The sequence below is a fragment of the Homo sapiens genome, chromosome 17 (assembly GCF_000001405.40).
Source record: "Homo sapiens chromosome 17, GRCh38.p14 Primary Assembly".
Taxonomy (NCBI): Eukaryota; Metazoa; Chordata; class Mammalia; order Primates; family Hominidae; genus Homo; species Homo sapiens.
Genome location: NC_000017.11, coordinates 16,981,482 through 17,006,571, shown reverse-complemented (window position 1 = coordinate 17,006,571; position 25,090 = coordinate 16,981,482). Strand labels below are relative to the sequence as shown.

At 51.1% G+C, this 25,090-nt stretch overlaps 1 long non-coding RNA gene across 1 annotated transcript, besides 11 other annotated features; it reads right to left on the bottom strand.

Moving 5' to 3' along the window:
* Window positions 1,310-1,838: an enhancer, noted in NCBI's record as "H3K27ac-H3K4me1 hESC enhancer chr17:16908048-16908576 (GRCh37/hg19 assembly coordinates)". NCBI's record gives its function as "activates a minimal SCP1, AML or CMV promoter by ChIP-STARR-seq in naive H9 embryonic stem cells {active_cell/tissue: H9 hESC(naive)}" and the evidence as "EXISTENCE:reporter gene assay evidence [ECO:0000049][PMID:30033119]".
* Window positions 8,985-9,034: an enhancer, noted in NCBI's record as "active region_11785". NCBI's record gives its function as "activates an Ori minimal core promoter by ATAC-STARR-seq in GM12878 lymphoblastoid cells {active_cell/tissue: GM12878}" and the evidence as "EXISTENCE:reporter gene assay evidence [ECO:0000049][PMID:35858748]".
* Window positions 10,080-10,642: an enhancer, noted in NCBI's record as "H3K4me1 hESC enhancer chr17:16899244-16899806 (GRCh37/hg19 assembly coordinates)". NCBI's record gives its function as "activates a minimal SCP1, AML or CMV promoter by ChIP-STARR-seq in naive H9 embryonic stem cells {active_cell/tissue: H9 hESC(naive)}" and the evidence as "EXISTENCE:reporter gene assay evidence [ECO:0000049][PMID:30033119]".
* Window positions 16,396-18,243, bottom strand: LINC02090 (long intergenic non-protein coding RNA 2090). The gene is made up of 3 exons (NR_146886.1): window positions 18,049-18,243; window positions 17,522-17,657; window positions 16,396-16,463 (listed from the first exon to the last, which is right to left on the bottom strand). It is a non-coding gene; the product is annotated as a long intergenic non-protein coding RNA 2090 (long non-coding RNA).
* Window positions 17,901-18,120: an enhancer, noted in NCBI's record as "active region_11784". NCBI's record gives its function as "activates an Ori minimal core promoter by ATAC-STARR-seq in GM12878 lymphoblastoid cells {active_cell/tissue: GM12878}" and the evidence as "EXISTENCE:reporter gene assay evidence [ECO:0000049][PMID:35858748]".
* Window positions 18,753-19,583: an enhancer, noted in NCBI's record as "H3K4me1 hESC enhancer chr17:16890303-16891133 (GRCh37/hg19 assembly coordinates)". NCBI's record gives its function as "activates a minimal SCP1, AML or CMV promoter by ChIP-STARR-seq in naive H9 embryonic stem cells {active_cell/tissue: H9 hESC(naive)}" and the evidence as "EXISTENCE:reporter gene assay evidence [ECO:0000049][PMID:30033119]".
* Window positions 23,861-24,399: an enhancer, noted in NCBI's record as "H3K4me1 hESC enhancer chr17:16885487-16886025 (GRCh37/hg19 assembly coordinates)". NCBI's record gives its function as "activates a minimal SCP1, AML or CMV promoter by ChIP-STARR-seq in primed H9 embryonic stem cells {active_cell/tissue: H9 hESC(primed)}" and the evidence as "EXISTENCE:reporter gene assay evidence [ECO:0000049][PMID:30033119]".
* Window positions 24,400-24,939: an enhancer, noted in NCBI's record as "H3K4me1 hESC enhancer chr17:16884947-16885486 (GRCh37/hg19 assembly coordinates)". NCBI's record gives its function as "activates a minimal SCP1, AML or CMV promoter by ChIP-STARR-seq in primed H9 embryonic stem cells {active_cell/tissue: H9 hESC(primed)}" and the evidence as "EXISTENCE:reporter gene assay evidence [ECO:0000049][PMID:30033119]".
* Window positions 24,400-24,955: a biological region, named in NCBI's record as "H3K4me1 hESC enhancer GRCh37_chr17:16884947-16885486".
* Window positions 24,756-24,805: an enhancer, noted in NCBI's record as "active region_11783". NCBI's record gives its function as "activates an Ori minimal core promoter by ATAC-STARR-seq in GM12878 lymphoblastoid cells {active_cell/tissue: GM12878}" and the evidence as "EXISTENCE:reporter gene assay evidence [ECO:0000049][PMID:35858748]".
* Window positions 24,906-24,955: an enhancer, noted in NCBI's record as "active region_11782". NCBI's record gives its function as "activates an Ori minimal core promoter by ATAC-STARR-seq in GM12878 lymphoblastoid cells {active_cell/tissue: GM12878}" and the evidence as "EXISTENCE:reporter gene assay evidence [ECO:0000049][PMID:35858748]".
* Window positions 25,026-25,085: an enhancer, noted in NCBI's record as "active region_11781". NCBI's record gives its function as "activates an Ori minimal core promoter by ATAC-STARR-seq in GM12878 lymphoblastoid cells {active_cell/tissue: GM12878}" and the evidence as "EXISTENCE:reporter gene assay evidence [ECO:0000049][PMID:35858748]".

The following is a 25,090-nucleotide window of genomic DNA, read 5'->3' as shown; positions in this document are numbered from 1 at the left end:
AACAAGACAGAGGTTCATTTCTCCAGCACACTGTCTAGGGGTGGCAGGGCAGTTCAGGGCTGCGGTGGCAACTCTGCTCCATGCAGTTATTCAGGGATCCACCCTTCTCTCTCCCATCCCTAGGGTGTTTCTCTTGTCCATGTAGCTCAAGACAGTGCACCATCATGTCCACATCCTAAACAGCAGGGTTAAGAAAGTATGGAAAAGGGCTTGCCCTCCCCTTAATAATTTTTTTTTTTTTTTTAAGAGACTGGGTCTCACTCTGTCACCCAGGCTGCAGTACAGTGGCACCATCATAGCTCACTGCAGCCTAGCCTGGGCTCTAGCAATCCTCCCACCTCAGCTTTCTGAGTAGCTGGGACTATAGCCACATGCCACCATGTCCAGCTGAATTTTTTTTTGGTATTTTTTGTAGAAATGGGGTCTCGTTATGTTGCCCAGGCAGGCCTTGAACTCCTGGCCTCAAGTGAGCCTCCCACCTCGGCCTCCCATAGCTCTGGGATTACAGGCATGAGCCACTGTGCACAGCCAGCTCCCACCTCTCTTGAAGCACTGTCATTTGGGGCCTCTGTTCTAGAAGGGGGTGCAGTTGCTGCTTGGTGTGTTGTCCATCCCCTCCACAGGATGGCAGCTGCATTTAATCTCCCGTGGCCACCATGGAGGTGCTCTTCTCAGGTCGGCCTTCAAGAGAGAAGCCTCTGCAAGAAGTGCAGTCAGCTGACAGCCTCCAGCTACTTGGGGATCTTCCGCCACATTCAAATCATCCTGCCCAACCTGGGACCCCAGTACTGGCCATCTTTGCTCCAGAGACCCCCTGGGGCCGGGTGAGGCTCCCCCGCCCAGCTCTCCAGTGGCCCCTCTCCTTCACAAGCATTGTGCTTGGTGCGCTCCATGCTCTCCCTGACTGCTCTGCCCCTCGCCCCTTTCTCCTTTACAGCTCCTTCTCCTAACACAGTTCTTGTATCTCTAACTCCAACCTGTTGTCTACTTCCCAGGGGAGCTGAACTGACACCTTTGCCCCAGGCCATATCCCCAGCACACAGACAAGTGCCTAGCACATAGTAGGCGCTCAACAGAATTTCCAAGTGAGCACAGAAAACACAGTGGGCAGTCAATACATGTGTGTTGAACTCAGCAAATTGCACAGCAGCTGGGAAACAGCCGTCGCCGGCTCCTCTGAGCGTGGTGCTCCCGCAGCCCGTGTCAGCTGCGGTGCTTTGCCAATGCAAACAGGAGTGGAGAGTTAGACCCAGGCCCACTCCAGCTGCTGGGCCCCTTGCTCAACACAGCCCCTTCCTGCCACCTGCAGGGTGGGGTCTTCCTGAGCCCGCAGAGGGCACAGAAGGAAATACCTGCTCCCGGCCATGCAGGCCTCCCTGGCATGGGCACCCTGAGAGTCCTGGTCCCGGGAGCCAGGAATAACAAAGAGGCTGCCAGGGCCGGGCCCCTGGGACCTGAGGGCTGAGGGCAGAGCATGCCTCCCTGGTTTGCTGGGCAGGAGGCTGATTGGGCTAAATGGACTTTGTTGATGGTGACCCTTTGTTCCTCCATGGCGGCTCCGTCTGAGGAGAAGTTTTGGAGGCTGTTCATTCTCCTGCTTCCCCTGCTGCCACCCCAGAGACAAGGAGAGCAGCCTCCCAGTGGCCTGTTGGTTTGTAAAAGAGTCAGGTGTGGGAGGTTGCATCACGTGCTTCTCTGGACTCGTGGTCTGCAAGGAGGTGTGACAAGTGTGGCTGTAGGTCGATGAGCTGTGTGCGGCTTGGTAACGGGCAGTGGATGAGCCAGGGGGAGCAGCAGGTGGCCCAGCCCCAGGGATGAACATGGGGGAACTGGGTCCGATGTAGGCAGGAAGGAGACATCAGCAGCAGCAGCCCAGGGGCGTGGTGGAGGGGTGCGGGGGGGCCAGAGACAAGCCAGAGATGCCTGGATGATCCATTTTGCAGAAATAACAATCTCGAATCCAGGGCTGGGCCTGGCTGTGGCTTGGCCTGGCCAAGGGTGGTGAGCAGCAGGTGTGCTGATTGTAGTTAAGAAGCCATCGGTGTCAGACCAGAGTCCCCGGGCTCTGCACCTGAGGCTGCTGCGAGAGGAAAGCGATAGGGGCTCAGGCATGCTGAGGAGGTAGGTGGGCACGTGAAGGTGGGCCTCCAGGAAGGGGACATGAATACAGCAGGTCTTGGAGCTTTCTCCTTCAGGGGCAGGGGCAGGAGGACGGCCACCTGGCTTCACCACGAAGGGCCCGAGAGCATGGCATGGAGGGAGAGGCAGATCTAGAGAGAACACCGGCCAGTCTGCGGAGGGAGGTGGAGGAATGGGTTGAAGAGGGAAGAATTCCTGACACAAACTCTGAAATGACAAAGGAAAAGAATGACAAATCCGATTACACAAACATGAGCAACTTCCAAAGACCAATCACAAAAAACAAAACAATCACAAAGTCCCCACCAACATGGCTGAAAATAAAACAATTAGCTGAGAAGAAATATTTGTCACCTACAGACCATGGCAGACAGAAGATTTTATTTTAAAGCACCCTACAAATCACTAAGAAAAAAGCCCCAAAGAAATAGCAATCTGGAAAAGGACACAAAAAGGGAACGTGCAGAAGAAGTGCCAGCAGCTGCCAAACCCACGGTCCACAAAATCCTGGATCAAACAGGCAGGAGACAGCATGACAAGGTGCCACTCTCTGCCCATCGGGTCGGCACAGATTTAAAAACAAGGACCTGGTATTGCCAAGGATGTGGGGAAAGAGCCCTGTGGGTGAGGGTGTCAATTGGACAATGGCTGTCAACTTCTAGAATAATCATGTGTGCTTCCCTTTGATCCAAGAATCCCGCTGGGGGAAATTATTCCTGTAGAAATGTTTGCTCAGGTGTGCGAAGACACCTGCGTAAGACTTTTCATCTCAGCATTGTGTGTGATGCTGATGCCACAGCGTGGTGCCTAGACACCTCCTGGAGAGGACCCAGAAGGCCCGGCCACAGGTGGGGGCCGTGTTGCCATGGTCCCTGCCCAGAGGATGCCTGGCTGGTGCGGGGCAAGAGGGAGGTGGTCCTAGAGGCAGCCTTGCCTTGATCTACCCACAGGAGCGCACTGGACAGGGGTCCTGTGAGTGTGGGATCAGGGTCCCCCAAGCCCCATCTGCCCTCTGGTGCCCAGTGGCATTGAGCAGTTGTCTTAGCCACTCTGACCTCCACATCCTCCTCTGTGAAACGGGGTGTGACAGGACTACCTCTTGGGCTCCTGAGATCCTGGCATGCGTAGTGCTGTGTCAGGCGCAGTTCTAGGCCCTCTACCTTCACTGGGCCTAGGCAGCCTCCTACCAAAGGAGGATGAGAAGACACAGAGAGGCTGAGCAATTGCCTGAGGTCACACAGCTGCCCAGTGGCCGCAGAGGACACAGCTGGTGTCCCATCCATCAGTCACCCACCCTCCCCATGCAGGACTCGCCTCTTCACGTCTAAGCCTGGGACGCCTGAGCAGGATCCTTGGGCTGCTTCTCCCAGCTGCAAGGACGGGCAAGTTCCACCGCTGGAGGCCTGGAGAGTCCCTGTCCCAGGAGAGGGTCTCAGCCAACAGTGGCTGTGGGGGTGGCGGACAACTACTCCAGCCCCTTGCTCCTCAGCGGGGCAACCTCTGGGGCCTGCTCCACGCTGTCTCCCAGGGCTCCCCACAGCAGGGAGCCTGGTGCTTCCCTGGTAACTGCCTTGATAACACATACTTTACTGGCTTCTTCCCTTCCCTGCCTCTCGTGCCCTCCCCTGGGGCTTCCTGCATCTCCCCAGCCAAGCACTTGCTCTGGAATCCTTGTTCTGGGGTCTGATTCTGAGCCCTGCCCGAGACAGTGGCAAAGCTGGAGTTGGGCCAGACAGTCGGGCTCCAGAACCTACCTTAAAAAAGTTTTTTTTTTTTCCCCATCTACTCGGGAGGCTGAGGCAGGAGAATGGCGTGAACCTGGGAGGCGGAGCTTGCAGTGAGCCGAGATCGCGCCACTGTACTCCAGCCTGGGCAACAGAGCGAGAATCTGTCTCAAACAAAAAATAATTTTTTTTTTTTTTTTAAATAAAGAGACAACAGGGTCTTGCTTGGCTCTGTCATTCAGGCTGGGGTGCAGGGGGCAGGCAGCCTCGAACTCCTGGGCTCAAGCCATCCTCCTGCCTCAGCCTCTCCAAGCGCTGGGATTGCAGGTGTGACCCACTGCAGAATCTGTTCAGTGGGGCGGCTGGACTGGTTTCGACCCACTGGACTGGTTTGCAAAACCCCCCACCCGGCACAGTCTCTGGATATTTTCCTAGACTGTGACAAGCGGCCGCTGCCAGGGGAGAGTGAGGGACCCTTTACCCTCTGTGCCCCTCTGTCCCTGGGTCAGAGCCCTGACATTTATTGCACCCACCCACCCCAGGGACAAAGTCCTCTGCACAGGGCGGGCAGCCAGCCCCTCGACCAAGGCCTCAGGAAGGTAAAGAAGCCGGGTCCACCCGTGCTCAACACCTGACTTCAGTCCAGGGTAGGCGGCCCAGGGCTCCTCTCCGCCCAAACTGGCTCCTCCCAGCGCCACCCAGAACGAGGGGTGCCGAGGGGCCCAGCACCTAGGTCAGCGGCGCCACCTGCTGGTGACCATTGGGAGGCGCCGGCGCCTGGTTCTCTGCAACATTCCGGCTCCAGAACCTACTTAAAAATTTTTTTCAAATAAAGAGACAACAGGATTTCTCTTCGCTCTGTCATTCAGGCTGGGGTGCAGGGGGTAGGCAGCCTCGAACTCCCGGGCTCAAGCCATCCTCCTGTCTCAGCCTCCCCAAGTGCTGGGATTGCAGGCGTGACCCACTGCAGATCTGCATTCTTAACCATACTCTACAAAAGCCCTTCGCTGAGAGGATGTGGTAGGATAGCCCTCCCTACAGTGCCCAGCACTGGGAGCACCTTCATACACGAAGCTGCTACTGCTGCTCCTGTCTCCCAAGACCTTATGTGGTCCCAGGCAGCCTGGAGGGCATCCCTCCCTCGGCGAAGACCAAGAGTTCCAAAAGGACACAGACACAAGAGGCCTGGGTCTCTGAGGTCCTCCAAGGGCCATCCTTCCAGTCCCAACCCCTGCTTGTCTCACAATATTTCTCAGGAGTGGTCCTTTAGTCTCTACTTGCACACTTCCAGGGACAGGGAACTCATCAGCTCTCAAAACCACTTGAGCCAACATCTGTCTCTCACTGGCTTGGCTCTGCCATCTGGGAGTCAGTGAAAATCCTGCTGGCTTGGGAGAGCAGGAGGCCCAGGTGCTGCAATGCTTGAGCTGTCGCTGTCAGTCCCTTGGCCCTTCCTGGGCTGCTGCCCTCCAGGTGGGCTCACGCACAGCAACTTCACTTCTTCCTCCTCCGTCTTTTTTGCAGAGAAAAGATTTGAACATCGAATATTTTTAGGAAGAAGAGTTTCTGTTTGAAAAACCTGCCTTCCATGGCTGCACAGCAAATCTGAGGAATCTCTTACTGGCCCTGGGTTTCACATTTACATTACAAGCAGAAGGTTCACATTGCTGTTGCCAGAGAGTGGGCTTGTTCCACGATGGGGGTCACCCACGCTTGCAGCAGATGCTTAAGATCTGAGCACTGGACATACAGGCCCTGGAAAGACAGAGAGACTTCCTGCATGGAGCTTACTGTCTGGGGGAGCAGACCACCTCACCATCCCACAGGGAAACAGACCGTCACAGCACGACAATAGCCTGGCAGGAGGGGTGCACAGAACCCTGGCAGCTCATCCTGGGGAAGGTGCTCTAGTCTGGGAAAAGGCTTCTCAGAGAAAGGGGTCTGTTTTATTTTTACTTTTTCATCATAGGAAGAGTGCACAGTTTAAGTGTTCAGCTTGATGAAGTTTTACCCATGGGTGCCTCAGGCTCAGCCCCCAGACCAAACTGGAGAAGACCAAGTTCGTGCCCAGCCCCTAGAGGGCTCCTTTGTCCCCTCCCATCCAACACTCCCCCCACCCCCCGAGAAGTAACCATTCTTCTCTACCCTTGTGCCATAGATTAATTCTGCTTCTTTTTGAGCTTCCTAGTAATGGAGGTTTGTGAATGGTGCTCTTTTGAGTCCGGCTTCTTCACTCAACAATGACATCTGTGAGATCCTCCCATATTGTTGTATGTGGTCGTCGGTGATTCTTTTTCATTGCTGTATAGTATTTCATTGTATGAATATACTGTCATTTGTTGATGTTTTCTGTTTATGGATATTTGGGCTGTGCTGGACAGTGATAGTTTTTGGCTGAGTGGAAGTTACCTTGCTATGTGGAGGCAGAGAGGATAGGGAGGAACACTTGATAAGGCAGGAACAACATACACAAAGACCTTTGGCAGGAGGGAGCCTGCCTGGGGCCCTGAAGGCTGGTGTGGCTGAGGGGCATCCCTTCCTGTACCCTGCTTCTAGGCCGCTGTGTTCTGAGTGCCTGCTGCTTTGGCCTGATATGTGGCCCTCCACACTCATTTCCACCTCCTCCTCCTGTGCCTTCCTGACCAGCAGGGACTGGGAAGCTGAAGGCTACATTTCCAGGTTCCCTTGCAATGGCTTCCAGGGTTAGGATCCACTAGTAACACGCCCAGGTGAGATCAAGGAGGCGGGGGTGGGGGACATCTTTTGGCAGCTCTGGGCTGTGTTCTGCCACCCAGCAGGGTCACAGGCACGTGGAAGTGTCTAAAGCAATGTTCCAGTGTCTGGTCTTGAGCTGCCCAGTGGCCCTGATCCCAGGTCCCTGCACCCCACGAAGTCAGTGGTGCTTCAGTGGCATCCCTGATTCCTACCTCCTGGGCAGCTTGGTTCTGCTGGGCTCTGGGAGCCATGGGGCAGGGGCAACCCAAGACCTCTCCTCCAACTCACCCAGGGATTTTGTAAGTGCTGGATGCCTGCATCAAATCCTAGCTGCTCAAACACCTGGAGATATCACCCATACCCATTGTGATGGCCACTCTAAAAAAATAATAATAACAAATGCTGTCAAGGATGTGGAGAAACTGCAATGCTTGCATATTGTTGGTGGGAATGTCAACTGGTGCAGCTGTTAAGGAAAACAGGAAGGAGATTCCACACACACACAGACACACACACAGACACACACACACACACACACACACACACACACACACAGAATTACCACATGATCCAGGCATCCCACTTCCGGGAACATACCGAAAAGAATAGAGAGCAGGTCTCAAAGAGATGCGTGCACACCCGTGTTGACAGCAGCCTTATTCCCAATAGCTGAAATGTGGAAGTGGTGTCCCTTCCATGGATGTCCCTCCACGGATGAATGGAGAAGCACACTATGGGACATCTGCACAGTGGAATGTTATTCAGCTTTCAAAAGGAAGGAAGTTTGGACACAGGCCACCACATGGATGGGGCTTGAGAACATTATGCTAAGCTAAATAAGCCAGTCACACAAAGACAAATCGTGTATGATTCCATGTAGGTGAGGCACTAGAGTAGTTAGATCTCTAGAGACAGAAAGTAGAATGGGGGTTGCCAGGGGCTGGGGAAGGGGGAAGGGAAGTCAGCGTTTCATGGGGACAGTTTCATTTCTATAAGATGAAAGGTTCTGGATATGGACGATGGGGATGGTTGTGTCACAATGTGAATGTACTTAATGACACTGAACTAGATACTTAACAATAGTTAAAATGGTAACTTTGTTTTTTTTTTTTGAGACTGAGTCTCGCTCTGTCGCTCAGGCTGGAGTGCAGTGGCGCGATCTCGGCTCACTGCAAGCTCCGCCTCCCAGGTTCACGCCATTCTCCTGCCTCAGCCTCCCAAGTAGCTGGGACTACAGGCGCCCGCCACCACACCCAGCTATTTTTTTTTTGTATTTTTAGCAGAGACAGGGTTTCACCGTGTTAGCCAGGATGGTCTCGATCTCCTGACCTCGTGATCCACCCGCCTTGGCCTCCCAAAGTGCTGGGATTATAGGCGTGAGCCACTGCGTCTGGCCTAAAATGGTAACTTTTATGTTATATGCATTTTACCATACATAAAACAAAACCCCAGACTGAAAACCAAAAGCACTCAGAGAGGTTTCTCTGCAGAGCTTTTCCTGTATGTTGTCGGGTCAGCTGATGCCCCATCCATGAAAGACAGGGACAGAGTCAGGCCCATTTTACAACTGAGAAAACCAAGGCTCGGCCAGAGGAGGGAGGAGCCCAGCAGGTGAGCAGCAGAGGGGGCTGGACTCTGGGTCTCCCTCCTGATCTGTGCTCTTTCCACCATTCCCATCCCCATGCCACCCCACCCCACCCTAAGGAATGGTCCTTCAAGAAGCCAGCATTTCCCTCTGTCAGGAGGAGGACAAAGCCCACCCACCCCAGCGGATCCTCAGACGGGAAGGCTGCTCCTGCCCCCCTTGGGATAGACACTCCCTCTCATGTCAGCCTGCATGGGAGCGGGGTCTCAGAACCAGCCTCTGAGAGTCAGAGGGGAGGCTGGACTGCTTTTGAGCCACTGGACTGGTTTGAAAAACGCCACCCCACACAGCCTCTGGAAATTTTCCCAGATTGTGACTAGGGGCTGGGCGAGAGTGAGGGACCCTTTACCCCTCTGTGCCCCTCTGTCCCTGGGTCAGAGCCCTGAAATTCATTGCACCCACCTGCTCCAAGGACAAAGTCCTCTGCACAGGGCAGGCAGCCAGCCCCTCACCCAAGGCCTCGGGAAGGTAAAGAAGCCGGGTCCACCCATGCTCACCATCTGCCTTTGGTCCAGGGTTGGCGGCCCAGGGCTCCACCCCGCCCAAACTAGCTCCTCCCAGTCCGACCAGGAACCTGGGGTGCAGTGTGCCCAGCACCTAGGTCAGGGGTGCCACATGCTGGTGACCATAGGGAGGTGCCAGCGCCTGGTGCCTTGTTGCATGCCAGTCAGCCACTAAGGGGCAGTGAGGGGCATCACCCAGGAGGGCTGTCACGCAGGAGGGCTGTCACCCAGCAGGGCTTTCACCCAGGGCTGTCACCCAAGAGGGTTGTCACCAGGGCTGTCACCCAGGAGGGCTGTCACCCAGGAGGAGTGGCCGACCACCCATAGGTGCTGAGGGGCCTTTAGATAAGGCCTTCTTCAAGCTGCCAGGGTCCTGTGGCAGCCATCACACAGTGTCACAAATGGGGTTTAACACAACAGAAGTTTATCCCGTCAGGGTTCTAGAGGCCACAGTCCAGGATCGAGGGATCGGCAGGTTCTGCCCCTCCTGGCCCCTTCCCTGGCTTCTGCTGGTGGCTGGCAGCCCTAGGTGTTCCTGGGCTCTGGATGCAACCTCTGCCTCCGTCTTCACGTGGCCTTCCTTCCTGTGTCTCTGTGCAAATGTCCCCTGCCTTATAAAGATACCAGTCATTGGTTAGGGCCCTCCCTAATCCAGCAAGACCTCATCTTCCCTTGATCACAGCTGAGAAGACTCTATTTCCAAATCACGTCACCTTCACAGGTGCTGGGTGGACATGACTTTTGGGGAGGTCACTACTGAACTCAGCACAGAGGCTCAGCTCAAACAGGGCCCCCTCCACGCAGCCCTGCCCCACCCCTTGCAGCGTCCCCTGTCCTCTGAGCCCAGCAGGGCGCTGTGGGCGGCTGGATGGGCCTGCACCACACCGCACCCGGCTTGCTGGTTGTGAAGCATTTTCTCTCTACATCTACCTCACAGCACGCAGCTGAGCGGCAACTCCTCGGGGAGGCTGAGCGGGGTTAGGGGCCCTTTCTTTTTTAAATCTGTTTTCAAGGCACTGTCATTGATGTGTGGGCCTGGAATACTCAGAGTGGAGTCGGGTTTTACAGGTTGAAGCCTGGAAAGAACTGTTGGGTTTCTGTGTGTAGCATCTGCTCCATGACATGATATACAAGAAGGAAGAATGGAAGAGGCTGTGATCCCAGCTGCTTAGAGAAAGGGTTGCGGTTGCAACGGTCAGAATGGCAGCCCAGTGAATCCCGTTGTCCATGGTGTTGAATTCTTGGAGACAGGTGCCTCCCTGCCAGCCAGCAATGTGAGAAACGATGTTCAAGACTGTTTTGATTCAGCCGGGCGCAGTGGCTCACACCCGTAATCCCAGCACTTTGGGAGGCCGAGGCGGGCGGATCACCTGAGGTTGGGGGTTCGAGGCCAGCCTGATCAACATGGAGAAACCCTGTCTCTACTAAAAACACAAAAATTAGCCGGGCGTGGTGGCGCATGCCTGTAATCCCAGCTACTCGGGAGGCTGAGGCGGGACAATCGCTTGAATCTGGGAGGCGGAGGTTGCAGTGAGCTGAGATTGCGCCACTGCACTCCAGTCTGGGCAACAAGAGCGAAACTCTGTCTGAAAACAACAACAACAACAATAACAAAAAGATTGTTTTGATTCAAGTGCTTATGAAAAACAGGGATGGGTGGGACAGGGGGTGGATTTCTGCCCAAAGCACTTCCTATGTGGGACCAGCAGGGCAAATGGCTGTGGACCAGCACGCAGCCAGCCAAAGGGAAACTGGTGTGTGGAGATGTGCTCCTGAGAGTCAAGTGCTTAAAATGCGAATCAAATGTGGGAAGTGCCAAGAAACGTTATATCAGGACATCATTCCACATTTGGAAAAAGAGGAAAGGCGGGCAGTGGGGAGATGACCTATTGTTGAGCCACACTACCCCAGCCAGAGAGGAGGCCTTGGGGAACCCCTCTTCTTTTTGTCACAAAAAAAGTTTATGTTCATAGTAGATGACAATTGTGGTGATATTGAACAACCTTCATTAAAATGATATCACCTGTATCTATTGATGACATTTCATAGTCTTCATGAAAGCCATTCTAAGTGGCTGCAAAACATTCACTCTAGTAGGCTGACTGTGACATTTTTGTGTCCCCTATTTTTGGGTGTTCAGGGACTTTCTAGCTTTGGCAATTAAAGGTAATACTCAAGTGCAGGTGTCAAATTTTGCCCACATTTTGGATTATTTCTTCTGGATGAATCCCTGGAAGTGGAATTCCTGAGTCAAAGGGAGGGAGGACTATTAAGTCCCTTGATTAGCGATTTCAAACTGGTGGGCCAGAGCCAGTTTGTCTGTTAGCTGAGTTTCATTTGGCCTATGCATTTTTTTTTTATGTACATACAGTTTTTTTGTTTTGTTTTGTTTTTTAGATATGAGGTCTCACTCTGTTGCCCAGGCTGGAGTGCAGTGACGTGATCATAGCTCACTGCAGCCTCAAACTCTTGGGCTTAAGCAATCCTTCTGCCTCGGCCTTCATAGTAGCTGGGACTACAGGCATATGCCACCATGCCTGGCTAATTTTTTTTTTAATTTTTGCAGAGACAGGGTCTTGCAGTATTGCCCACACTGATCTCAAACTCCTGGCCTGAAGCAATCCTCCTGCCTCAGCCTCTCAAAGCACTTAGATTACAGGCATGAGCCACCGGGCCTGTGCACACATTTTTAAAAGTAAGATTTCCCATCAGAATGCAGATTTACAGCTTATCTTGGAAAATCAAAGCTGCCCAATCAATCAATGTAATCCACTGCATTACAGGAATGAAGGGAGAAAGCCAGATGATCATCCTAATTGATGCAGAAAAAGCATTTAACAAAAGGCAGCATCTTTTCATGATTAAAAACCTTCAACAAACTTGAAACAGAGGAAACTTCTTCAACATGAAAAAGCACATTTGTGAAAAACCCTCAATGATGGAAGGCTGAAAGCATTTACCCCAACAGAGGAACAGGACGGGATGCCCAATTTTCACCACTTCTGTTCAGCATAGTACTGGGATTCTAGCCAGATAAATTAGGCAAGAAAAAGAAATAAAAGGCATCATATCGGAAGAGAAGAAATAAAAGTATTCACAGATGACATGATCTTATATAGGAAAAAATCTGCTGAAAAACTATTAGCCCTAACAGAGGAATTGAGCAATGTTGTGGAGTGCAAGGCCAACACACAAAAATTAGTTGTATTTCTATATGCTGGCAACGAGCAATCCAAAAAGAAACTTAAGAAAACAATTCCACTTACAATAGCATCCTTAAGAATAAAATTCATAGGAATAAATTTAACTAAGGAGATGAAAGACTGGTACACTGAAACTTACAATGCATTGCTGAAAGAAATTAAAGAAGACCTAAATACATGGAAACTCAGCTCATGTTTATGGACTGGAAGACTTAATATTGTTAAGATGCAATACCACCCAAAGCAAAATACAGTCTTGATGCGATCTCTATCAAAATTCCAATGGGCTTTACTGTAGAAATGGAAAAGTTGATTCCCAAATTGCTATGGAATTGCAAGGGACCGCAAACAGCCAAGACAATCTTGAAAAGAAAAAAAGGATAAATTGACGGACTCACACTTCCTGATTTCCAAAACTTACTACAAAGCTACAGCAATCAAAAGGTTGTGATACTGGCATAAGGACAGACTTACAGAATGGAATATAGACATATAGACAATGGAATGGATTGAGACAAAGCAGACATATAGAAAACGAAATAGATTAAGAGTCCAGAATTAAGCCCTCAGATATATGGCCTGTTGATTTTGGACAAGAATGCCAAGATTGCTCAGTGGGGAAAGGCCAGTCTCTTCAAAGATGGTGCTGGAACTATTGGATATCCATAAAAAAGAATGAAATTGGATCCTTACCTCACACCATATACAAAAATTAACTTAAGATTGATTAAAATTGTAAATATAAGAGCTGAAACTATAAAACTCTTAGAAGGAAACATAATGGTAAATCTTCATGACCTTGAATTTGGCAGTGGTTTTCTAGCTATGACAACAAAAGTGCAGGCAACAAAAGAAAAAATAACATGGACTTCACTAAAATTAAAAACGTATATACAGCAAAGAACACTATCAAGAGAGTGAAAAGGCAACCCACAGAACAGGAGAAAATATTTGCAAAGCATATAGCTGATAAACATCTAGTATCCAGGATAGAGGAAGAACTCTCACCACTCAACAACAAAATACCCAAATAATCCAACTTAAAAATTGGCAAAGTACTTAAATAGACATTTCTCCAAAGAAAATATTCAAGTGGCCAATAAGCACAGGAAAAGTTGTACAACATCATTAATTATTAGGGACATAAAATCAAAACCACAGTGAGGTACCTTTTCACACCCACCAGGATGGCTATAATTTTGGGGCCGGGGGAATAACAGGTATTGGTGAAAATGTGGAAAAATTGGAAGCTTTGTACACTCCTGGTGGGTATGTAAGATGGTGCAGTTGCTGTGGAAAACAATGTGGTGGTTCCCCAAATAGTTTAACATAGAATTACCCTGCATTTCCACTCCTAGCTGTGTATCCCAAAGGAATTGGTAACAAACACTTGTACACAAATGTTCTTAGCAGTACATTGTAATTGCTGTAATGGCCAAAAGGTGGAAACACCCTAAATGTGCACAGCTGATGAATGGATACACAAAATGTGTTCTATCCATAATGGAATATTATTCAGACATAAAAAGTGAGGAAATACTGATACGTGCTATGATGTGGATAAATCTATAAAAATATTATGCTAAGTGAAAGAAGCTAGACATAAAAGATTCCATATGGTATGATTCCATTTATATGGAATGGCCAGAATAGGTAAATCCAGAAAGACAGAAAGGAGATGAATGGCTTTCAGGGAACGAGGGGAGGAGGAAATGGGGGATGACTGCTTAATGTGTACGGGTGTCCTTTAAATGTGATGAACATGTTCTAGAATGGGATACTGCTGATGGTAGCACAACATTGTGAGTGTATTAAGCACCACTGAAATGTACACTTTAAAATAGTTAAAATGATGAATTTTATGTTATGTAAGTTTTACCTCAAAATTTTTTTTCTTTCTTTTTTTTTTTTAGATGGAGTCTTGCTCTCTCTTGCCCAGGCTGGAGTGCAGTGGTGAGATCTCGGCTCACTGCAACCTCCGCCTCCCAGGTTCAAGCAATTCTCCTGTCTCAGCCTCCCAAGTGGCTGGGACTACAGGCCCACACCACCATGCCCAGCTAATTTTTGTATTTTTAGTAAATAGAGTTTCACCATATTAGTCAGGCTGGTCTCGAACTGCTGATCTCAGGTGATCCACCCAGCTCGGCCTCCCAAAGTGTAGGGATTACAAGCATGAGACACTGCACCTGACCAATTTTTTTCTTTAAAATCGGGCCAGGTGCAGTGGCTCAGGCCTGTAATCTCAGCACTGTGGGAGGCTGAGGTAGGAGGACTGCTTGAGGCCAGGGGTTTGAGGCCAGCCTGTGCAACAAGCAAGACCTTATCTCTACAAAAGTTAAAAATGTAGCCGGGTATTGAGGTGCACATCTGTCGCTACTCAAGAGGCTGAGGCTGGAAGATCACTTGTGCCCAGGACATCAAGGTCGCAGTGAGCTGAGATTGCACTACTGCAATCCAGTCTGGGCAACAGAGCAGGACCCTGTATATATATATATAAAAAAAAAAAAAAATCAGAGCTGCCCTTGCCCTTGTGCTAATGGGCTCTCTCTCTATTACATCACCTACCTGGCTCCCAGGGCCACCTGAGTTTGAGACCCCTGCTCTAGATTCATGTTACCAAATCCCCTTCCAGAGAGTGTGTGTAGTCAGTGACACCACCACTCAGGATCCAGGAGAGAAACATTTTCACCAAACCCTGCTCAACACACTGACTCCCTCATTTCAGTGAGGAGGAGAGTGAGGTTCAGAGATGTTAAGTGAACTTGCTCCAGGTCACACAGCCAGTCAGGACAGTGTTGGGACTGGAGCCCAGCTCGTCTGATCCTGAGTCCAGTGACCTGTCCTCCTGCCACACGGGTTTCCTACAGCCGGGGAAACCAAAGCATAGGGCTGGGAGCCCCATTCGAGGGCTCTGACTCTCAGAAACCCATCATATCCCCTCTGAGGCCCTTGGCTGGCATGAATCCCAGCCAGGTAAGAGAAGAGGAGGTGTTCAGGCCCCTGAGCCTGGGAGCGGCTGCTGGGTGCCAGCTTTCTCCAGCATCGGTGGAGGGACAGCCGCCAGGGGGCGTCTGCTTAGGAAAATCACAGCGGGTTGCCGGCAGCATGGGCATGCGGGGCGCATGGAGCCTGTGGGCTGTGTCCGGGTGTGGGCGTGTGCGCAGGGGGTGTGTGTGTATGGGGTGTGCCTGTGGGGTGTGTGAATGTCTGTGTGGGGTGCCTGTGGGGTGTGTGTGTGTGGGGGGGGGAGTGTGCCTGTGGAGTATGTGAGTGTGTGTGGGGTGCCCGTGGGGTGTGTGAGTGTGTGGGGGGTGCCTGTGGGGTGTGTGGAGTGTGTGTTTGGGGGGTGTGCCTGTGGGGTGTATGAGTATGTGTGGGGTGTGCCTGTGGGGTGTGTGAGTGTGTGTGTGGTGCCTGTGGGGGGTGTGGGGTGTGTGAGTGTTTGGGGGCTGTGCCTATGGGGTGTGTTTGTGTGGGGGGCTGCCTGTGGGGTGTGTGGGGTGTGTGTTTGGGGGGTGTGCCTGTGGAGTATGTGAGTGTGTGTGGGGTGCCTGTGGGGTGTGTGGGGTGTGTGTTTGGGGGGTGTGCCTGTGGAGTATGTGAGTGTGTGGGGGGTGCCTGTGGGGTGTGTGGGGTGTGTGTGTTTGGGGGGTGTGCCTGTGGGGTGTGTGAGTGTGTGGAGAGTGTGCCTGTGGGGCGTGTGGGGTGTGCATGTAGGGTGTGTGTGAGTGTGTGTGAGAATCAGAGTGTGTGAGTGTGGTGCATGTGTGAATGTGTGTGGGGGTGTGTGTGTGTGTGTGTGAGTGTGCATATACCTGAGCTCTTTCGGCTAGAATGGGAGGCTTTCTGATGAGGTGATATTTGAGATATCTGACTGAAGCAGTGGGGGGCAGGGGGATGACCGGGGGCGTTGGGGAAGAGCATTCTGAGCAGAGGGAACAGCAGCTGCAAAGGCCGCAAGCAGGCCCTGCCTGATGTGTTTGGGGAACCTAGGCTGGGGTGGAGAGAGCCAGGGGGGAGGACAGAGAGGCAGTAGAGGCAGGGCAGGCAGGGCCTCCAGGCCAACAAAGGCTGGTGAGCTTTATTCTGAGCAATCCCTGTGCATTCCAACAGAGTTAACCCATAAACACTTCCCAGAGACTCCTGGAGCTTAGAGGAAGGACAGATGGCTTCAGGCTTGGGGCAGAGTGGAGGAGAGCAGCCAAGACAGGATGTAGTGTGATTGGGCTGGGAGGCAGGAGATGACATTGAGAGAGTGCCTCTGAGCAGGGAGGTTCCCTGAAGACCTTTCTGCAGCTGGGCACCCGCCCCTGGGCACCTGTCCCTGGATACCCTTCCCTGACATGTTGACCATGTTGACCAAAGTGAGATTGGGCTTCGCCCTCCTGGCAGCTCCATCACCATGGCCAGTTTTGGCTCAGTGCCTGTGATGGAACTTTCTGGGATGGTTGGAGGCGGTCTGCATCCATGCTGTCCAGAAGGCAGCCACAAAGCACAAGTGCACTGCTGAGCACCTGAAATGTACCTGATGGGGCTGAGAAGCAAGATTTTAAGTTTAAATCTCCACAAGACACTAGCAGCCACTTGTAGCATGCGAGCTGCATGAACGGATTCTGCCGCATGGCTCCTCCTTGGCTTTAGCCAGGTAGCACTCAGGTCAGCGCTACCCATCAGGGCCTTGCCTCATTGACTTCTGCCATGCCCAAAACCAGCTGTTTGGTCTGGGCCACACAGAGGCCCCACGGCTGACTCACCACACCCCTCATCCTGAGTGAGCGGTCAGCAGATCTTTCCTTTCCACTGAGAACGTGAGTTTCAGCGTGCACAGGAGTCTTGGTCTTGGCTGCCCAGTTAGTCACGTGGCCGCCCTAAACATCTGCTCCTCCTGTGCCAGGAGTGGAAGGAGCAGCTCAAAACCAAGCCCCATGCCACAGCAGGTGGGCCCACCTGAGATTAGCACCTCCCTTTCCACCAGGAGCCAAGAATACCCAGGTTGCTCATTTGAACCCATATGGTGAAGTTTCTCTCTCTCTCTTACTCTCTCGCTCTCGCTCTTGCTCTCTCTCTCTCTGTAATTTATTCTGTAATTTCGGTTTTCAAAAACAAAACCCTTCCATAGTACAAAGTTCTCAGACTGGGTGCTGTCTCCAGTGAGTTCCTTGTAAAACAAATACGTGTTGCTTGTGGTTGTACAAGTTGCACAGCTACGCCAGGAGGAAGTAGACAGCTGTGAACGAGCTGGGGCCACACCTGCTTTGTGGTGGGGCTGTCCCTTGCATCCTAGGATGGTTGGGAACATCCCTGGCCTCTACCCCCAGATGCCAGTAGCAATCCCTCCCACCCCCATCATTGAGACACCCCAGATGTCCCCAGCATGGCCACATGTCTCCTGACAGTGAAGGCAGAAGCACTTTGGTTGAGAACCGCTGGTGCAGAGCAGAAATGGCCTGATGAGAAGAGGGATGAGAGGCTGAGGTGCCTGCAGTCTCCCCTCTGTGTGTCTCCAATCCACTTTTGTGTTTTACATATGTAGGGAGGCATTATGAACAATGTCTAGTGCTATGTTGGGGTCCGTGTTTAAAATGTACTTACGTGCAGCTGTGCTCTGCCCTGCCTGTCCGCGCTCGTTGCTGTGTGGCTTGTGTCTTTGACCTGTTCTGTGATGCTCCATTACAAGAGCACATTGCATCACATTCATCCCTTTCCCGGTTACTATATCAGGCAGGACCTGGGCAGGAAACAGTGGTGCGGTCAACATGAAAAAGAGCTGAATGGACAGACTTTAGCAAAGCGTAGGCAGGGCTGACAAAAACAGTGCCACGTTGTCTTCCTGGGGTTCATGGTTTCAGATGCTGCTGCAGGGACTGTCTCTGCTCATGGCTCCTAGTGTCCATGTGCAGAAGCATCTCCAAAGGCCCTTGCAAGGGGACTCACTGGGGCCAGGTTATCCACAAACACCGTGATACTCAAAATCTAGTTTTACCCTAAGGAGGTAGGGGATGACTCTTTGGATCTAGAAGTGAAGGCACCTCCTAAGGGAATTTATCCTGAGTCACCTCCTCCTGGCAACTCACCCAAGGACTCCCCATGGGGCTTCCTCACACAGAGATATCCCCTACCATAGGAAAAAGACTCCTGGGTCCGGCCTCAGCTCCCTCTCGTTGGCTGTGCCTGTGTTTCTCACTCATCTGGCCAACCCACAGAAGTGGGTGGAGCCGGGTCTGTGCTGGGCTCTGGGGAGCATCTGACGAGTCACTGCAGAAGCAGCACTTTCTGCAGGAAGAACAGAAGTGTCTGCCTGTCTCTCACTTCCTTTTTGGGGCCTGGGAGGGTTGGCCTGTGAGTGGCCAGCTGCTATTTATGGGGCTCGACTGCTCTGTGTGAAACCCCAGTCTCTCTCGAGAGGGAAGAGTAGTGGGAAAGGGTGGTGCCAGGTGACATTGCCCCTGGTCTGGGGTACAATCAGCCCAGGTGCAGCGGTCACAACGTCAGAGTAGGGGGTGTAGCTCAGGGGTAGAGCATTTGACTGCACAACGTCAGAGTGAAACCCATCTAGGTCAGGATGGACGTGATGGGTTTCCTAACAAATCAACTCTGTGTTCCTTGTATTTGTAGACGCTCAGTGTATAGAGTGGGCTTTTAGTTGGGTGACCACATTCCAACCCCCCTGATTTGGACAGAAGGGGAAACTGAGGCCCACAGAGGCTAAGTGCCTAGTCTGAGGTCACATGCTGAGCTTGGGACATCAAGAGGACTAGAGTCCATAGTCTGGACTCTCATTCTAGTGCTCTGCCTTTTCATGGGGGTGGCAGGGTCACCCGTTTGGCGCAAAATTAAGCTGAGTTTCAAAGGCCACTGAGCATCTTCCCCAGCCCCAGCCATTCTCAGGGTCCTGGGAGGAGGACAACTGTCTCCTGTATTGTCTTGAACCCCTGGTGGATGGGCGGGGCAGGGGGTAGGAAGGGGCAGAGAAGGGGCTGTCCAGATGTGACACATCTGGAGTCTCCACATCTGCCCCAGGGGTGATGAACAGAGCTGCCCTCTCCCGCCTGTTCATGGTGGCCTTCGGTCATCTTTAGTTTTGTACCACCCGGGTTGCTTTTGGGTGTGCCTTGTGACCTGTTCTCGCTGGAATGAAATGGCCTGTGCATTCCTCCCTTCCTCCTCCTCCCTCTCCACCTCCCTCCCTCCCTCCTCCCCCATACGTGTACTGAGCCCATACTCTGTGCCCCTTGCCTTTGAGATGAATGGCCGGGGCTGTCCTAACTGAGGAGGCAAGATTTGGGCAAGCTTCCTGGGAGGCAAGCAGTCACCCAAGCACACATCTGGGCAGAGAGCATTCCAGGCAGCGGAACAGCACAGAGGGGAAGTTGTCAGCATTGGCCTGGTGTGAGCAGGGGAGAGTGGCAGAGGGCTCAGGGAGAGAAGGCCCAGGTTCAAGGCCCAGGGCCATTATAAAGATCCAGTGTTTAGTCAGAGCAGCTGGGGAGTGGCAGAGGTTCCTGGGCAGTGGAGGGCTCAGCTGTGGCTCAGGTGCTAACAGAGTACATGGCACCTGGGGGTGGGGGGGCCTCTGAGAAGGGGCTGGTAGGGGGTGGCTTGAAGCAGGCCTGAAGGTGGTAAGTGCTCAGATGATTTTGGTCATATTTTGAACGTAAAGCCAACAGTGTTTGCTAATGGATTGGTGGAAGGGAAGGAGACAGGGAGAGAAAGAGAAGTCAAGGATGACTCCGGGTACTTAGGGCCTGTCTTAGTTTTAGACCCAACCTCACAATTCTGGTGGGCATTGCCCTAATGGGGGCTATCCCTCTGTGGCATTCTTTGAATTCAAGGGGAGGCAGCCATACCCCCAAAGCTCTTGCACTCTGTGTGCCTGCAGAATTAGCAACACATGCATGCTGCCAAGGCTCACAGCTTGCACCCTTTGGAGCAGCAGCCCAAGCCACACCTGGGCCCATTTGAGCCACAGCTGGGGTGGCCAAGGAGCATCGTGCCAAAACACAAGGAGTAGAGACCCAAGGCAGCCAGCCCCTGGCCCATCCCCCCAAATCATTCTGCCCTCAAGCTCCAAGGGCCCTGGGCTTATGATGAGATGAGTCATCCAGATCTCTCAAATCCCTTCAGAGTCTTTCTCCCACTGTCTTGATGAACAGCACCTGGCTTCTTTCTAGCCATACTCATCTCCTTATCACATGGGCTCTTGGCCATACCCTTGGTATTTTCTCCTTAACACACCTTTTTATTCTTTATGCGGCCAGGCTGAGAATTTTCCAAATCTTTGTGTTCTGCTTCGCTTGTGGTTATACATTCCGTCTTTAAATCATTTGTCCTCTCGCATTTTACTATGAGCAGCTAAGAGAGGATGTACAGCATCCTGCACACTTTGCTGCTTAGAGGTTTTTTCTGCCACATATCTAGTTCATTAATTTTTCAATTTTTTTTTTGTTTTTTTGATACAGGGTCTCACTCTGTCACCCAGGCTGGAGTGCAGTGGCACGATCATAGCTCACTATAGCCTTGAACCCTTGTGTTCAAGTGATCCTCCTGCCTCAGCCTCCTGAGTAGCTGGGTCTACAGACATATGCCACCATGCCTGCTAATTTTTTAAAAATTTTGTAGAGACAGGGTCTTCTTATGTTGCCCAGGTTGGCCTTGAACTCCTAGCCTCAAATGATCCTCCTGTCATGGCCTCCCAAAGTGCTAGGATTACAGGCATGAGCCACTGTGCCTAGTCATAGTTCATCACTCTTAAGTTCTGCCTTCCATGAAGTCCTAGCACATGGACATAATTCAGCCCAGTTCTTTTCCACTCTGGAACAAGTATCACTTTCCCTCCTGTTTTTAATACCCTGTTCCTCATTTCCATCTGAGACCTCATCAGAATGGCCTGTACTGTCCATATTTCTACCAGCATTCTCTTCATGAACACTCAAGTAATCTCTAAGGAGATTCCAGCTTTCCCTACAGCTGTCCTCTTCTGAGCCCTCACTAGGATCACCCTCAATGGGCTGTTCATGGCAATACAGGCTCTTCCTGGCATGCACTTCCATCCTGTCCCAGCCTCTGCCCATTACTCAGTTCCAAAGCTGCTTTCACGTTTTTAGGCGTTTGTTACAGCAGCCACATTCTGGGTACCAATATTTGCCTTGGTCCATTTTGTGCTGCTGTAACAGAATTCCCGAGATTGGGTAATTTACATAGAATAGGAATCTATTTCTTACTGTTCTAAAGGCTGGAAGTCCAAGATCAAGGTGCCAACATTTGGTGTGGACCATCTTGCTGGATCCTCACATGACAGAAGGTGGAAAGACAAAAAGGGATGAACTGAGCCCTCACATGGTGGAAGAGCAGGAGAATGGAGAGCCCATTCCCACAAGCCTCTTTATAGCAGCATTAATCCATTCCTGAGGGTGGAGCCCTCCTGACCTGACACCTCCCCAAAGACCACACCTCCTAACACTGTTGCATTGGGGTTTAGGTTTCCAACACATGAATTTTGGGGGACACATTCAGACCACAGCAGGGCCTGGGCCACCAGAAGAATGGATGCCAGCCTCTGAGACCAGGATGGCTGAGACACAGCAGGTCGTGGAGCTGAAGTAGACGCTTACTTTGGTGAAGCTGTGCTAAGACTGAGATGCCCGCTAGGAATCCTAGAGGAGACACAGAGGAGGCCAATGGATCCTCAGTTCTGAAGCCCAGGAGGCCCAGACTGCAGATAGGGATTTGGGTGCTGTCACTGAACACAGGCCAAGTGTATTAGGGTTCTCCTGAGAAACAGAACCAGTTGTGTGTGTGTGTGCATGTGTGTGTGATAGAGAGAGAGAGAGAGGAATTGGCTCAGGTGACTGTGGGGCTTGTGGATCTGAAATCTGCAGGACAGACCATCAGGCTGGCCACCCAGGAAAGAGCTGATATCGCAGCTCAAGCCTGAAAGTGTTCTGGAGACAAAATTCCCTCTTCCCCGGGGGAACCATAGGCCTTTTCTTGTAAAACCTTTTAATGGCTGGATGAGATCCACCCACATTTCGGGGCAATCTGCTTTTCTTTTCTTTTCTTTTTTTTTTTTTTTGAGATGGAGTTTCGCTCTTGTTGCCCAGGCTGGAGTGCAATGATGTGATCTCGGCTCACCACAACCTCCGCCTCCCAGGTTCAAGCAATTCTCCTGCCTCAGCCTCCTGAGTAGCTGGGATTACAGGCATGTGCCACCACGCCCGGCTTATTTTGTGATTTTAGTAGAGATGGGTTTCTCCATGTTGGTCAGGCTGGTCTCGAACTCCCGACCTCAGGTGATTCACCCATCTAGGCCTCCCAAATTGCTGGGATTACAGGCACGAGCCACCGCACCCACCCCAATCTGCTCTTCTTAAAGTTGACTGATTTAAATGTTAAACTCGTCTAAAAAATACCTTCACTGGGATATCTAAACTGGTATTTAACCAAATACCAGTACTGTGGCCTAGCTGAGTTGACATATAAAATTAATAATCATATCAGGAGAGGCAGAGGGCAGAAACATGGCACCAGGGAAGTAGGAAGCCCAAAGGTCAGAGATCCAGGTATAATCCCTGAGAAGAAGCAAAAGTAAACAGGAAGATGACATAAATTATCTCTACCATTTTTCCTATTTAATGTCTATCCTTACAATAATACAAGACCTGACCACAATTCAGGGGGAAAAACACAAACAAACAACCAAAACAGGTCCAAGGGGATCCAGATAGCGGGGTTACTAGACACAGACTTTGAAATAGCTGTGATTATGTGTGGAATATTTGCAAGTAAACGAAAGACATCGAGCCATGGGTTTGAGAAGGACTGTGAACACTTAGCAGCATACATAGAAAGAAAATCACCCCTAGGTACAATGTAACATTACAGGAAATGAAAGACAAAGGGAAAATCTTACAACTAGACGGAGAAAAAAATAAAGGCAATGAGAAGGCATTAGAGAGTTTTCACTGAGGGCTGACATGGCATCTGACTTATGTTTTAAAAAGATCACCCGCCACTGCTGGAGGAGAATGGGTGGTAGTAGTAGGCCAGTTAGTGGCTCAGCAGAGAGCTGATGGTGGGTACAGTGATGGTGATAGCAGGGGGAATGGAAGAGAAATAGCCACATTGAGGATGTCCTGTGTTTTGGAAGATAGAACAGATAAATTGGTGATGGGTAAGATGTGGGGGTGAGGCAAGGAAAGAATCAAGGGTCATCCCCAGATTTCTGTTTGAGCAATTTAGTACAGTAAGGGGTGGTGTCATTTAGTGAAATGGGAAAGACTGGGGAAGGAAGCGGTTTGGGATGTCTTACATTTAGTAGGTAATTTATTCTCTCTGAGCTACATTTTCCTCATCTCTGGGTGGGGCCATACTTGTACTCACCTCATAGCTTTATTAGGATGATTAAATGTTAGCTCCTGTTATTATACACATTTAAGTCAATGGTTCTGGCAGGCAGCTGGAAGCAGGATCTTACCATTCTCACCCCTGGGCTCCTGTATCCTTGGCCAGTTTGAATCCAGAGCTGAAGCAACCAGGCCAGCCCAGCCATTAGGGATCCCAGAGCTGGTTTAGTTCCTGTACCAGAGACAACTCCTCATTTATCTGCAAAAAGGGAAAAATAGATAAGCCTTCAATAGTAATGGGAGATTAACCTCAAATCCTGCAACATAGAAGGTCTTAAGTGGGGCCAGGTGCAGGGGCTCAGTAATCCCAGCACTTTGGGATGCCAAGGCCATAGATCACTTGAGGTCAAGAGTTTGAGACCAGCCTGGCCAACAGGGTGAAACCCCATCTCTACTAAAAATACAAAAAAAAATTGGTTGGACATTATGTCAGGTACCTATAATCCCAGCTACTCAGGAGGCTGAGGCAGGAGAATCGCTGGAACCCAGGAGCAGAGGTTGCAGTCCACGCCACTGCACTCCAGAACGGGTGACAGAAGGAGACTCCATCTCAAAAAGAAAAAAAAAGGAAAAAAAATACGATCTTAAGTGGGTTTTTGTTTTTTACCCAAAACGTTTAAATTCTGCCTCTGCAACCTGCAACCTGAGAATTGCTAATCTGCCTTATTCCATCTGAATATATTGTTTTGGTTTGCTAAAACCAGGAGGTTCACCTTCATCCTCCTCCCTGAAGGAAATTTTTCTGTGAGACAGGCTGCACCAGACATTGCTTTTTGTTTTTGTCAAGCGGGACACTGACCTGATCCAATTCCATTCATTGCAGACATTTCTGGAGGGGCTTCGCTGTGCCAGACTTTGAAATAGCTGTGATTACATGTGGGGGAGCCCGAGATGATATTTCATTAGCTCAGTAACTGTTTCCACCTTGTTCCCCACCCCCACCACACTGGCCTTCATTTCTTCTCCACTAGTGTACTAAGTCCACTCTCTCCTAAGTGCACTGACTGCTGGGCAGCCCCTCACCCGGGTTGCTGCAAGCTGGCTTCTCCTCCGCAGAGAGGCTGCCTGACTCCCCCGACCCAGGTCCCCAGCCCCAGCTCTCCTGGTCCTGTCCCCTGACTGTCCCAGTTCAGACCAGTATCTGCTGCCCACTCCTTTGCCTACTTCTTTGTTATGCCCTCAGCAGCTCCACCTGTGAGCTCCACCAGTGCTTGAGCTTTGACTTAAGCCCTGCTGCATCCCCGCACCCCTGCACGTTGTAGGTGCTTAATAAATGTTTATGGACTGAGTGAGTGGACATTCTGTTTCTGGGCCTGTCTTCTGCTCTGAGAGGGTAGGGAGTCCCTGGGCAGAAAGAAGAACAACAGGGTCAGCGGGAAGTTGGGCTGCCATTCAGGGCCTGAAGAAAGTTGGTAACAGCCTCAGCTGTTCATTGCCCACTAGAAAGAGCCTGGGCTTTGGGGTCAGGTATTTGTGGGAGCACATCTCAGCTCCCCACATCCCAGACTGGATGCAAAAAGCTCAGTCTCTCTGGGCTTTGACTCTCTCGTCTGTGAGAAGGGGGTCGTGGCAGCATTTGCCTTATTCTGAGGATAGAGTGATTTAAAAATCAAGTTCATATCTGGCACATAGTAGATGTTCAGCTAACTGTGGCCACTTATTGTCAGCCTAACACCTGCCGTGCACACACATGCATCATCGTCGTCACCTTCACCATGAGCCGTGCGGCCTTTTCCAGCTGGGGCTCCCCACTGCTCAG